The sequence below is a fragment of the Homo sapiens genome, chromosome 18, assembly GCF_000001405.40.
Source record: "Homo sapiens chromosome 18, GRCh38.p14 Primary Assembly".
NCBI classification, from domain to species: Eukaryota; Metazoa; Chordata; class Mammalia; order Primates; family Hominidae; genus Homo; species Homo sapiens.
Window position 1 is genome coordinate 74,160,769 of NC_000018.10, and position 12,933 is coordinate 74,173,701.

Sequence of the window (12,933 nt, forward strand, 5' to 3'; positions counted from 1 at the left end):
TTATATGCAAGGCAAGAGTTTATCAGAAGTTCTGCTTTTAGCCCCGTGAGATTTCCAGCCTAACTACCCTGCAAGCTCCCTTCATAACTATTGTTGATCAATGCTAGTAATACTTTATCCATTTATTTCCATTTGGTAAGCCATTACAATATTACTTCTGTTTCTCTTATTCTCATCCAGAGACAGTTCCCCAATTCCTAATTCATAGATTTCTACTCAGGGTTACACTTACTATTTATTTTATATAGTACCACTCATGTGTTCCATCTGTTAGATTTCATGCAACATATTGATTAAGGGTATGCTATATGTCAGACTAGAGTCGTCTAGTGCCACGGAAAAGCTTGCGGGCGGGGTGTGGAGTGCAGGGGCCAGGTATATCGTGTGACAGTGTTAAGGTTTTGATCCTGTAGGCCCTGAAGAGCATCACAGGAATCTGAGTGGGAATTAAGCTGCTGTATCTGTATTTAGAAGTGGTAGTTGTGTGCAGGATGGCTTGCATTTGGCAGAAGCCAGGTAGAGGTTACCGTAATAGTTGAGATGAGAGAGGATAAAGCTAGAGAGGAGGTAGTACATTTGAGAAATGTGTGAGGCTGGGGGAAGGACAGGACTTTGTGACCAAGTGCATGTGGGAAGTCACGGTGAGGAGTCGAGAATAACTCAGGCCTCTGACCGTTAAAATCCGGAGTCACACGGGGAGGAGTCGAGAATAACTCAGGGCTCTGACCGTTAAAATCCGGAGTCACACGGGGAGGAGTCGAGAATAACTCAGGCCTCTGACTGTGTTAAAATCCGGAGTCACACAGCGGGAGCAGTCGAGAATAACTCAGGCCTCTGATCGACTGTTAAAATCCAGGACAGGATGGGTCATGAGCAGAAAACAGTCAGTTCTACATTGAGCTCAAGGTACATCAGTCAGCCAGGTGAAGGCCTAGAAGCAACAGGTTTCTCAAGTCTGGCGCTCAGGATGCTGTCTGAACTGGACGAGATTAGGAGTGGCCTGCAGAGAGGAAGCAGCTGGAGCCGAGGGGGCAATGGCATTCCCCGGGAGGAGCATGCTGGCCAGTTGAGGCAAGCTTGCCGTGTGTTGGGGTCATCTGGCCAGCAACATCTTGCAATCCCCTCTTTCCCTCTAATGGTTAGCAGATTCTGAGGAAAGGATTTTATTTTTCTGTTTTGAGTTGTAAATTGGATTTATATTTTTGTTAAAGATGAAGGGAATGGGGAATGTGCAAAAGGAAGGGAGGCCATGGAGGAGAGGTTGGAAACCCATGGAAGATCAAAGAGAACAGTGGAGTAAGGTCTCGGCAGGTTCGACTCAGAGCAGAGCTGACCAGAGGCAGGAGAGCAGCTCAGGCAGAGGAGTTTATGGAAAGATGATGCATTGGCAGCTGAGCCCAGCTGGTCAGCCTCCGTGTGTCGTCAGCTGAGTGGCAAGGAAGGGTGGCATTGGGACTTAAAGAGAAAGATGAAAGCTTGGAAGAAGCCCTGAAGGAGAAGGGAGGAAACTGACTAGGGAACAGTGGCCAGTGTGAGACACCGCAGAAAGCAGGTGATGATGCTGGTCTGCACAGCTGCGCCGTCCGCTCACACAGGGCTCACAGGTGTAGGAATGGGTGAGGCAGGCTGCTGGACTGATCTGTGGTGAGCCTGCTGGACTACTCTGAGCTGACCTGTTTCTTTGAAGAATGCACACCTTTACGGAAGATGGAGGTAGAGGTACTTCCCCAACCAGGTATCTGCACTTCCTAGAAAGCTCCAGTAAGTGCAGCAAGGCATTCATGCATCGATAGACAATTAAGGCAGTGGAACAAATGGAACAAAATAGAGACCCCAGAACAGACTTACACATTTGTGGAAACTAGTTACGTGTCAGAGGTTACATTACAGTGCAATGGAAAGGGTACAGTATTCAACAAATAGTGCTGAGACAGTCGTATATCCATGTGGGAGGAAATGAAATTAAATCTCTACCCCACACCACATAAGAGTCAATTCCAGGAAAATTAAAACCCTTACATTTGCAACACTAGACAGGAGAATATCCTTACGACATTTTGGAAAGGATTTCTTAAATAAGACACAAGATTAGAAACCATAAAGAAAAAGTTTGATTTTAAAATCAAGAACTTTATCAGAAAAAAAAAAAAATAAGCCACGAATGAGAAAACTTTAAAGAACACAAAGCTAAGAAAGCATCACTTTTCAGATACACAAAGGACCCCCCAAAAAAGGAGGAAAACGCTGCCCTAACAGGCAAAAGACCATTTCAGTAAAGAGGAAAACATGAGGCGAATATACTTCCAAAAATACTTTCAATCTCACTAAAATCAAGAAAATGTAGAATGGGTTACTCGTTTTCATCTGCCAGATTGTAAGAAACTTTTAATGAATAAAACGGTGAATAGAGCAGAGAGAACTCTCATCCCCTGCTGGTGAGATGTATATTCGTGGAACCACTTGGATGCCCAACTTGGCATTATTTAGAAAAGTTGAAACTGCAGATTCTCCATAACACAGAATTTCCTCCCCTGGGTATTCACCGTAGAAAAACTCTTGCCCATGTCCCTGGAGCCAAGTATAAGATATGTAAGAACAAAAACTGGCAAGTTTTGACAAAAGATTGGGGGGAAAAAAATGTGATACACTATTTCAGTCACCATGGGACCGTGCAAGTTGAGGCGAGAGTTCTGACTTGCATGAGTTCCGCAGATGTGCAAAGCAGGAACTGCCTTTGTTTCGACAAGCAAGGGAAAAGGAACTAACAGCTGCATTTGCCAGCACCAATGAATCTAACAAACACTTCAAGCAAAAAAGGCGAATTGCAAAATTAAATATGTATTCTGGCAATTTATATAGAGTTCAGAAACACGGAGCTAAATAAATACTTTTTGGAGATACATACGTATGTGTGAAAACCTTGTAAAGAAATGCAAGGGAAAGGTAAGCCAAGGTTTTAAGAGAATGTTGTTTCTGGTGAGGAGGAAGGAGGATGAGATTGAGTTTCCCAGGGGTTCATCTTAGACAAATTCTTACACAGTATGGTGGATTGCTGGGTGTTCATTCTGTTACTATATACCTTTCACTGCAGGTGGGTGAGTTACCCAGAAGGTCACAAAACTTAAGTTTTGGGGCCCCTCACTTTCGCAGACTCCAAAGCCCAGTACTTAATTTTGTGTTGATAATGATTTCCTTTCTTATGGAAGACTCCACAACCTATCTAACCCTTGGGCCCTGAAAACTTGGATCCACACCTGCATACAAGTTATACCTTATACACACCAAGTATTTCATAAATTTTAGCATGGAAACATTCCACTGCTTGCCCTCCCAGGCTTGTGTTCCAGACCTGAGTGTATCCTTCAGCCTGCTCTCAGCCTTAGGTTTTATTAACCTTGTTACATGAAATTCTTAAGTCTTCCAAACTCCATGCATTAATATATAGATCTGTGAAAATCCTGCTTTCTGTTCTTTTTCCCCACTATAGAATCATTACATTTATTTCTTTCACTCATGTTTTTCTTTCTATATCCTAACTTGTCTCTAACCTCACAATTTTGGCTACACATTTTTTCCTCCATTCTCCTTAAATTGGTTCTTAGTCCACGTGCTATTCCCATTCCCCCTGCCCTGTCTTTGTCTGGTGCTCACAGCTGCTGTCAGCTAGGAAATTAGGAGTCATCTCCAAAATCACCGTCTATCCCAAATCGCTCCTCCGTGTCTCTCCTCCTTGCTGCACAGGAGCTGATTGTGTCCTGATGCTCCTATCGTCCTTCTGTGATCGCCAGTGGTCCTGAGAAAGCTGAATCCGGTTCGCAAAGGCCTAATTGGGAAGTCAGGCTCCACCGTTCTGCCGGTCCTCCCACCAAGGTCCAGCTTCTGGACAGGCAACCCTCCCTGGGCTCCCTCCTTTATACCCTTAGTTTAAGAAGTTCTAGTAATGGGTTGTTTGAAGACTGTTGTGTCTGTTTTGCTAGTAGACATTCCCAGCTACTTGGAATTTTCTTTTCTTTTCTTTTCTTTTCTTTTTTTTTTTTTGAGACGGAGTCTTGCTCTGTCACCCAGCCTGCAGCGCAGTGGCGCAACTCCGCTCACTGCAAGCTTCACCTCCCGGGTTCACGCCATTCTCCTGCTTCAGCCTCCCAAGTAGCTGGGACCACAGGCACCCATCACCACGCCCGGCTAATTTTTTTGTATTTTTAGTAAAGATGGGGTTTCACCATGTTAGCCAGGATGGTCTTGATCTCCTGACCTCGTGATCCACCTGCCTCGGCCTCCCAAAGTGCTGGGATTACAGGCGTGAGCCACCGTGCCCAGCCAGAACCTGCTGGGCAGGTTCAGTCTCCATGTGACAAGTCCTGCCGTCACCTCAGCTTCCACACACCCAGCCCTGCACTTGCCATCCCCCTATAACCAGCTCCAACTCCCCCAGGTTCTTACTGATTTCCACAGCGTACAGTCACCATTGCCATCCACTCCTTCCTTCCCCAGGCTTAAGATCCTAGATTGTTCTTTAAATCCTCTGTATTTTTAAACATGTATTGCCAATTAATCATTGACTCCTATGATGATTCTTTCAAAATTTCTGTAATTTCCATCCCTTCCTCTGCCATAATGCTAGTCTAAGTACACTAAATATGCATGACAAAAATTCGCCTCCTTTTATGAGACAAAACAGAAAGTGTCCTTTTCATCCTCCTGTCCCCTCTACAGAAAGTGGCCTTCTCTTCCCAGGAATCAGATATCAGATCTGGCACAAAGATTTCTGTGACCTGGTTCGAGACCATAGTGCCTACCACTGATTGGATGTGAGCCTTGTCTTCTGAGATCCAGCATGCAGGGCTCCTCCATGTTCAGTGTTAGCATCCTCAGTCTTTTCCCTTCCAGACCTTCTCAGAAAGATCCAGGCCCTTTTCTACCCTTGAAATGAGGGGTGGAGCTGCAGGCCTGACAGATCTGGAGGAGCCGGGGGCAGCCAGCCTCTGCCTGCTGGAGGGGAGGACAGGCCCAAGGCCAGACAGAGGTCGCTGGCCCTGAAAGAGCAGAGCAGAGGCCTGAAGGGGTGGCTGCTACATTGTCACCATTGCCTTCACCCTGGCTGTGGTTAGGAGGGGTGAGCAGCTGCTGGGACACAGGGGATGCTGACAGAGAGACAGACAAAAAGGAACTGACAAGGTGAGCCTGCCGCACAAGGAGCAGCTCCTGTCTTTCTGCCACTGCCTAGAGAAGTGTGAGTGTTGCCATGAGATCGGGGTGCCAAGCTAGACCCAAAGCAGAAACAGGCAGTGCTCACCTCGGCTCCAGCTATGAGATCAACAAGCTTAAGAATAAAGTCATGGGCAGCGGGGCTGGAGGCCGCCCGAGCCCCTGCAATTCATCCCTGTTACAGCAAGGTTACCTTTCCACACTCCCCGCCCAGGATCTTTTGAAAGATTGTTTTTTCATCTTATTAGAAACTGCACAAAAGAACCATGAGCCAAGTGGAATAGTTGTCTTCGCACTTACAACTTATTTCTCTACTCAGTAATAATTAATACAGTATAAGCTCATTTTAAACAAATCTCATAATTTGTTATCAAATTAACAAGTACTGATTGAGCAGGTACCTGGAGAACCGCAGCACTCAATGCTGCCTGCACGAGGAAGCAGCTGGCACTCTTCCGTTGAAGCCCTACGGTTGAAATGAACTTTCTAGTTAAACATGAGATAAGGAGTTTCTCTCGGTTTTATTTATTTATTTAACAAACTCCCATGTAACCCTCACAACATGCCATTGTTCCAAGCACCACACAAATATCAGCTGGTTTCACATTCCTGACAACTAGCTACTGCCAGCAGTTCAGCTGTACCTACGAAGTAACTGATGCACAGGCTGGTCACAGAGCCAGGAAGCAGGGAAGCTGGGTTGCACCTAAGCAGAATGTCACTGTCACTGTGCAGTGGCACCTGGGATGCTTTGTTTCCCGGAATGCCTTTTGTTCAGAACGTGACTAGGGAGAGTGAATGGTAATGACTCTCCCTAAGGTGAGATGAGGAAGAAGAGCAAAGCAGGCTGAAAGCTGAGGGACAGTGATGCTGAGGGCTGAAGAGAGGAAGAGGAGCCTGCACAGGAGAGGAGGGACAAGTGGATGACAGGGATGGACAGGTGAGATGCACAGATAATAGACAGCTGGATGGATGGACAGGCCAGAAAGGAAGAAGGAAGAAACAAGGACAGAACCATGGAAAGAAGAGAGGGGAAAGCTAAGGGTAGCAGAGGCTGATGCCTCCTGTTACAGACTGAACTATGTCTCCCTCTGGCCTCCAAAACCCCTGTGATGAAACCTCCCAACCCCAGCACCTCTGAATGTAGCTGAATTTGAGGATAGGGCTTTTAAAGGGGTGATTAAGTTATAATGAGGGTGGAGGGCCCTCATCCAATTTGATTTGTCCTTATAATGAAAGGAAATCTGGGCACACAGAGACACCAGGGAGGCATTTGCACAGAGGAAGTAGCATGTGAGGACACTGCAAGAAGGTGGACATCTGCAAGCCGAGGAGAGATCTCAGGAGAAACCCACCCTGCTGACACCTTGATCTTGGACTTTCAGCCTCCAGGACTGTGGGAAAATAAACGTCTGTTGTTTAATCCCCCAAGCCAGTGGTATTCTGTTATGGCAGCTAACTTTAAGAAGTTGTAAGTGATTGTAGCAGCGTGACTTCCAGCCGTGCATTGTAAGAAACCCTGTGGCGTCGCATCCTGCCCTACCCTGTGACTGTCAGTCTTGTTCATATTTGCCAGCCACATGGTGTAAAAGGGGTCTCTTGGTGGTCTTGACTCCCATTCACTAATCATTAATGAACATTTTTATGTGGTTTACGTGTTCCTTCTTCTGGACAAATGCCTGTTCATGTCTTTTGCATGTGCTTTTATTGGTATTTTTCTGTTTTCTTTGTGTTTGTTTATTTGTTTGTTTTTGTTTTTTTGAGACCAAGTCTCACTCTGTTGCCCAGGCTGGAGGTGCAGTGGCATGATCTGGGCTCACTACAACCTCCTCCTCCCAGGCTCAAACGATTCTCCTGCCTCTGCCTCCCAAGTAGCTGGGATTACAGGTGCCCACTACCACTCCCTGATAATTTTTGTATTTTTAGTAGAGACAGGGTTTCACCATATTAGCCAGGCTGGTCTCAAACTCCTGACCTCAAGTGATCCACCTGCCTTGGCCTCCCAAAGTGTTGGAATTACAGGCATGAGCCACCATGCCTGGCCTCTATTTTCTTATTAATTTGTAAGAAGGTTTTTATATATTTGATAGTAATATTCCATTGGTTGTGTGCATAAAAGACTATCTCCAAGTTTTAAACTTGCTATTTTGCTTTATATATGATATCTTTGGATGATCAAATGTTTTTAACGATAATAAAGTCAAGATCAAGTGTATCTTTTCTTTTAAAGTAAAAAGGTACTGTGTCTTATGTAGGTACTCTTTCTCAAGTTTTTGTGTAAGGAGTCTAAACCAAGATTGAAAGGATATTCATCTCCATTGTCTATTAACCATTTTAAGTTTTGTTTTTGATATTAAGTCATTAATTCATCTGGAGTTGATTATTTTTATTTTAAGAGTATGAAGTAGTGATCCAACTTTATGTTTTCCGTATGGATGACCATGCATTCCAGCTCCATTTACTGAACTGACATCTACGTCTGTCATACACCGAAATCCCATATGTGTACAGGTCTATTTTTTGGCTCTCTTTCATTCTATTGGTTAATTTTTGCTAATACCAATACTGCACTTATCTATTTACTACATAGCTTCATAGTAGATGCTGATACCTAGTAAGAGAAAGTCACTCTCCCTACTCTTCTTATTCAGAAATACTCTAGCTAATGTTAGCTCTTTACTTTAACATAATATTTAGCATTATTTTCATCAACATCCATGGGAAGCCCTTTCGGGATTTTCTATGGTCTCTCTATTTAATTTATTAAAAAATTGGGGAAGTAATATGTCTATAGGAATGATAATCAAATTTTCTAAAAATTATCGGCATTCCGAGGCTTGTGGCCACATCACCCCCGTCTCTGCCTCCATCTTTACATCATAATCTCCTCTGCACTTGTCTTCTCTTCTGTGTCTGTCTTACAAAAATACATGCCCTTGAATTTAGGGCCCACCCCTATAACCCAGGACTAATGCATCCTCTCAAAATCCTTAACTTAAGCACATATTTTACCATAGAAGATAATATCCGCAGGTTCCCAGATTGAAATGTGAACCCACCTTGTGGGAGACCACCCCTCAGGAGGCCACCAAAAGCATCTGCTACAGCAGTGTGTGGCCCGAGGTCATCTTACCATACACGCCTGGAACCAGGGATGTCTGATTTTCAAATCCTGAGTGTTTACACATCACCTAATGTTGCCTTTCATGTTTTTTTTGTTTTTTTACCTGCCTACATTTCAGTTTCCCCATCTCTTAAATGAGGACAATAATACCTACTTCTTAGGGATTTTGTAAGGACCATATGAGGCCATAGGGAAGGGGCTTCAGCAGTAGCTGGCACATGGTTACCCCGCAACTGTCGGTATGTTTCTTGCCTTCCTTTTACATTGTACATAGAGAAGGCATCATTTTAATTCCTGTATCTCCAGTTACTACAGTATTTGGATGTTAATAAGTTCTCAGAAAAAAAAAAATGTGTTAAATCTAAACCTTATAAGTACCTATAGTTCTAATACCCAAGCAATGCATTATTCAAAAAGTGACTGAGAAAGCTACCAAATTCCTGGAGTGCCAGCCATGAGAGATAGGAGGCTGCAAAAATTACGGATGTGTCCCGTTGCATACAAAAGTGGTCTTGCATAAGCAACATAAATCTAATGCCTCTAGAAGGCTGAATCACCATGAGGAGCAGGGCTGGCAGGAGAAACACATATGCTGCTCTTCAGGGTATGGAATAAGGCAGCAAAAAAAAAAAAATGGTTATGGAACAATCACCTTCTAAGACCACTTACTTTATAATATGACAAAACAAAAATGCCAAAAAGGAAGGATATTCTGATCAAATAGTTACTAGAACCACAGTAAATGCTTTGATGGGTATCTATTGATTTGACCCTACAGATGTGGTTCATGTTTAGAAGAGAATGTTTTCATGATAACACATTTATTCGACTGCAGTGAAGGTGGTGCAGCCATTTACATGAGAAGCTCCTACATAGCTCGGAGTCACCATTTGCTTTCAATCATTTGCATGAGATATTCTGCACTTATCTGTTGACCTTCCAGAGTGGCATCTTGGCCCCACCTTGCTTCTCACTGTGTGGAATATGATGCTACCAACAGTTGGCTGTGTGTAGCTTGGAAGAAAGGTACTCCCCAAATTACGCCCAAGACTCTTCCTAAGGCACTCTTCCCCTTTTACCACCAATATCCTATTTCTAGATTTCTCATCCAACCTAGAAAAACATTAGTCTGTGCTTTTCTGGTTTATAATCATAATACAGACATCTCCTAAAAATTATAAAATGTCCCTCTCTGTCCTCTTTTTCTACACTCTCTGCTTTTTCTTGAATTTGTGCTGAACAAGGAATTCGTTTAAAAATAGTTAAAGGAATGGCGAGTACAGCATAAGATGTTTAACAGGTTTTCCTTTACATGCTTATTACCTTGAGATCTGAGTAATTTATAAAAAGGGGGGGAAAAGCGTACCAAAATTAAAGCTTAGTTGAAAAGGTCAGATTCGTCGCATGGACAATCTTGACTTCATTCCTTGCAGCTGGCGTCAGTGGCTGCATTTATTGCTGACAGTCATGATTATTCGATGGGTATTATAACATCATGTGAGGGTGGCACGACAAATGGGGAGAAGGACAAAATGATTTGGTCAATGACGATACTTAATCCAAACACGAGTCACATTTATGAGAATTTACTGTTCACATCCACTGATTATTCTGGCCACCTGAGAATGGACATGGAAATGTTCATTTATTTAAGCAAAGTTGTCAGCATTGTTTCAAAGACATGTAAATGCTGTCAACAAATAAATGCCAAGTGAGGCAAATGGCTTACTGCCCATAGGGAAGCCTCTAAAGGAATATGTCTTGATTTCTAGATGAACCCAGCAGAACCCCTTGTCTCTGGCAAGATGATGAAAATTACCTATACTTTTCCTGGAAGCCACTGGCTGCTCTGTGTTACAAGCTGCGAATACTGCTGTCAATTTTATTTAGGAATAATTCAGATAAAAGATATAAACTTATTAAGCTAAATATCATCAGCATTGATATCAATTTGTATTTAGCCTATAGATACAAGAAATGAGATAAAAATATGCTTCAAGTAGTTGCAAATAATGAAATTGAATCTTCATAGGCTCATTATTTTTCATAACAAAGGATTACAAAAGTGTTCATTTTTACTCTATCAAAGGTGACTGTATCATTATTTGTTATTAATATGGATTTATTTCATTTTTAATGTATTTCATCCAGGAATGCCAATGCATTCACTAAGACCCATGCAGAAGTTTCTCATCCATGCCAATACCACCTGCCACAGCTCTGCGAGGCTCTCCTTATGGTAGCACATGGGAGATCTGGCTGAGGGAAGGAGCCAACCTCTTGGCTGGATTGCATCCAGTCTTTGAAGTGTTCTTGACTTGGCCCCTGTGGTTGCAACTCTGAGGACGTTTTTCAAGGGGGCAGCTTGCATTTCTCCTGTGTGAGGGGCACCCGCAGACTTCTAGTGTCTCAACAAGAGAATTGAGGTTTCAGTGTGTGGAGAGCTCTGATGAGCAGTTAAACGACACAAAACCCTTCAAAATCCAGGTGACTCCACACAGAAGCTCATGTCCCAAGGAAACAGCATGACGCAGCTTCCGGCTAACTCTCATTGGAAGCCCATCAAGCCTCAGTGTCCCCAAGTTACAACCCTTGTTTGTGCCCTTTCTCTTTTCTTTTTTTTTATTTTTTGAGACGGAGTCTCACTCTTATTGCTCAGGCTGGAGTGCAATGGCGTGATCTCGGCTCACTGCAACCTCTGCCTCTCGAGTTCAAGCAATTCTCCTGCCTCAGCCTCCCAAGTAGCTGGGATTGATTACAAGTGCCCACCACCACACCCAGCAATTTTTTTGTATTTTTAGTAGAGACGGGGTTTCAGCATGTTGGCCAGGCTGGTCTTGAACTCCTGACCTCAGGTGATCCATCTGTCTCGGCCTCCCAAGGTGCTGGGATTACAGGCGTAAGCCACCATGCCTGGCCGTTTGTGCCCTTTTTCTCCTGCTTCTCTGTCTCTGATGTCCCTCCCTCCTCTCTCTGCTGTCCCCCCTCCTCCTCTGTTTCCTCATCTCCATACTCTCTCAGACTGTAATAAAGACTATAATAAAGACTAGTGCCTTAAACAGGTCCTAAACACAACCATGTCGACAGGTGTTTATGTTCCTTTTTCTTGGTTTAAAATCAGGCAAAGTGAACATTTTAGGCGCCACCGGATCAGTAGAGGTGAGGAGGAGTCTTGTGGATTGGGAGAAGCATAAAGTGAGAAAGGTGCCCTTTCCTCAGGTCAGCTCAGCACAACAGAGAGCTCCCCACCCCGCCGATCTTTCTAATATTAATACCAGGACCGCATCTCATTCTCAGACCAGCTCCTCATAGTTTCACTTTCTTGTTTGCAGTGAACAGGTCCAGAGACTCAATCTTTCTTCTCTTGAGCAATACAGCTTCGCAATTGAGCATTTGGGCTCAGAATTCAGACAGCTGTAGCTGTGTCAAGTCCCAATTCTACCACTGCGACAGGTCATTTACTTTACTTCTCCGTAAATTGCCTAGTTCCTTATCTGTAAGTGGGAAAACGATAGTGCTGATCTTGTAACTCTTTCTGATAATTAATTGTATGTAAAGTTCTAAGGAAGACTGCAGTGAAGGAAAGGGTGCAATCTATTCCTTAAAGTTCTAAGGAAGACTGCAGTGAAGGAAAGGGTGCAATCTATTCCTTAAAGTTCTAAGGAAGACTGCAGTGAAGGAAAGGGTGCAATCTATTCCTTAAAGTTCTAAGGAAGACTGCAGTGAAGGAAAGGGTGCAATCTAGTCCTCAGGAAAAGTGCTAACTCCGTAGTGTGGCTCTTCCCACCGCGCCTGCGCACGCTGCACATGCAGGAAGATGCTGCCAACGAGGGGAGGATCTCGCCGGGCAAATCCCAACGGTCTCACCTGGCTCCGTGGCGAGCTCCCATGGGGGAAACAAAAATATCAACAAAACAGGACAACATGCCAAAAACAAGGCGAGTGCCGAGATCAGAGAAGAGGGAGCTATTCATTCTAAGGGCAGGACCGGGGAAGGCTTCAGGTGTTTCTCTGCGCAGGGGCCCAGAAAGGGGCTCTAAGCCATCGCTGCACCTTGTAGGGAAGCAGTGAGGATGGGACGAGGAGGGTCCCGCCTGGCCACCACGTCCTGCATGCTGAGGAGAGGGTCAGAACCCGCTCAAGGGAAAGCCTGGCAATGCCAGCCCTCCTTACCTCGTGGCCAAGTCCGCTTCCCGCTCGGCGCTCTCAGCCCTGTCCCCCTCCCGGTTCCTCCTCCCTTCCTCACCCAGTCCTCCCAGTCCTCCCAGTCCTCCCAGTCCTCCCAGTCCTCCCAGCTGCACTCACTGCGCTATTTCTCTCAGCAGCTGGCTTGGGCTCCAGTCTCTGGAGGGTGCTTTCATCTCTCTTCTCCGCCAGCTCTGTGGTCCCAAGGATGCTCCTCTAGGTAACACTGCCAGCCTCGCCTCCCTGCCTGTAACTCCACCGGCTTCCTGCCTCCTTTTCCTCATGGAGGGCTCCCACCGGGGTGCCACAGCCTTGGGTGCGGGGCGGGGGTGGTGAGGAAACGCTGAGCGTGACAAATACTTGATCCTTTGCTGAGGAGATTGGGTTTCCTTCCCTGAGTGATGGGTAGCCATTGAAAA

At 44.8% G+C, this 12,933-nt stretch overlaps 2 annotated features.

The window, feature by feature from the left end:
* Positions 2,774–2,833: an enhancer, noted in NCBI's record as "active region_13494". NCBI's record gives its function as "activates an Ori minimal core promoter by ATAC-STARR-seq in GM12878 lymphoblastoid cells {active_cell/tissue: GM12878}" and the evidence as "EXISTENCE:reporter gene assay evidence [ECO:0000049][PMID:35858748]".
* Positions 5,532–5,701: an enhancer, noted in NCBI's record as "experimental_50247 CRE fragment used in MPRA reporter constructs". NCBI's record gives its function as "activates a minimal promoter by MPRAs in K562 erythroleukemia cells, with activity observed for both the introgressed and non-introgressed 18:71833620 variant alleles {active_cell/tissue: K562}" and the evidence as "EXISTENCE:reporter gene assay evidence [ECO:0000049][PMID:34662402]".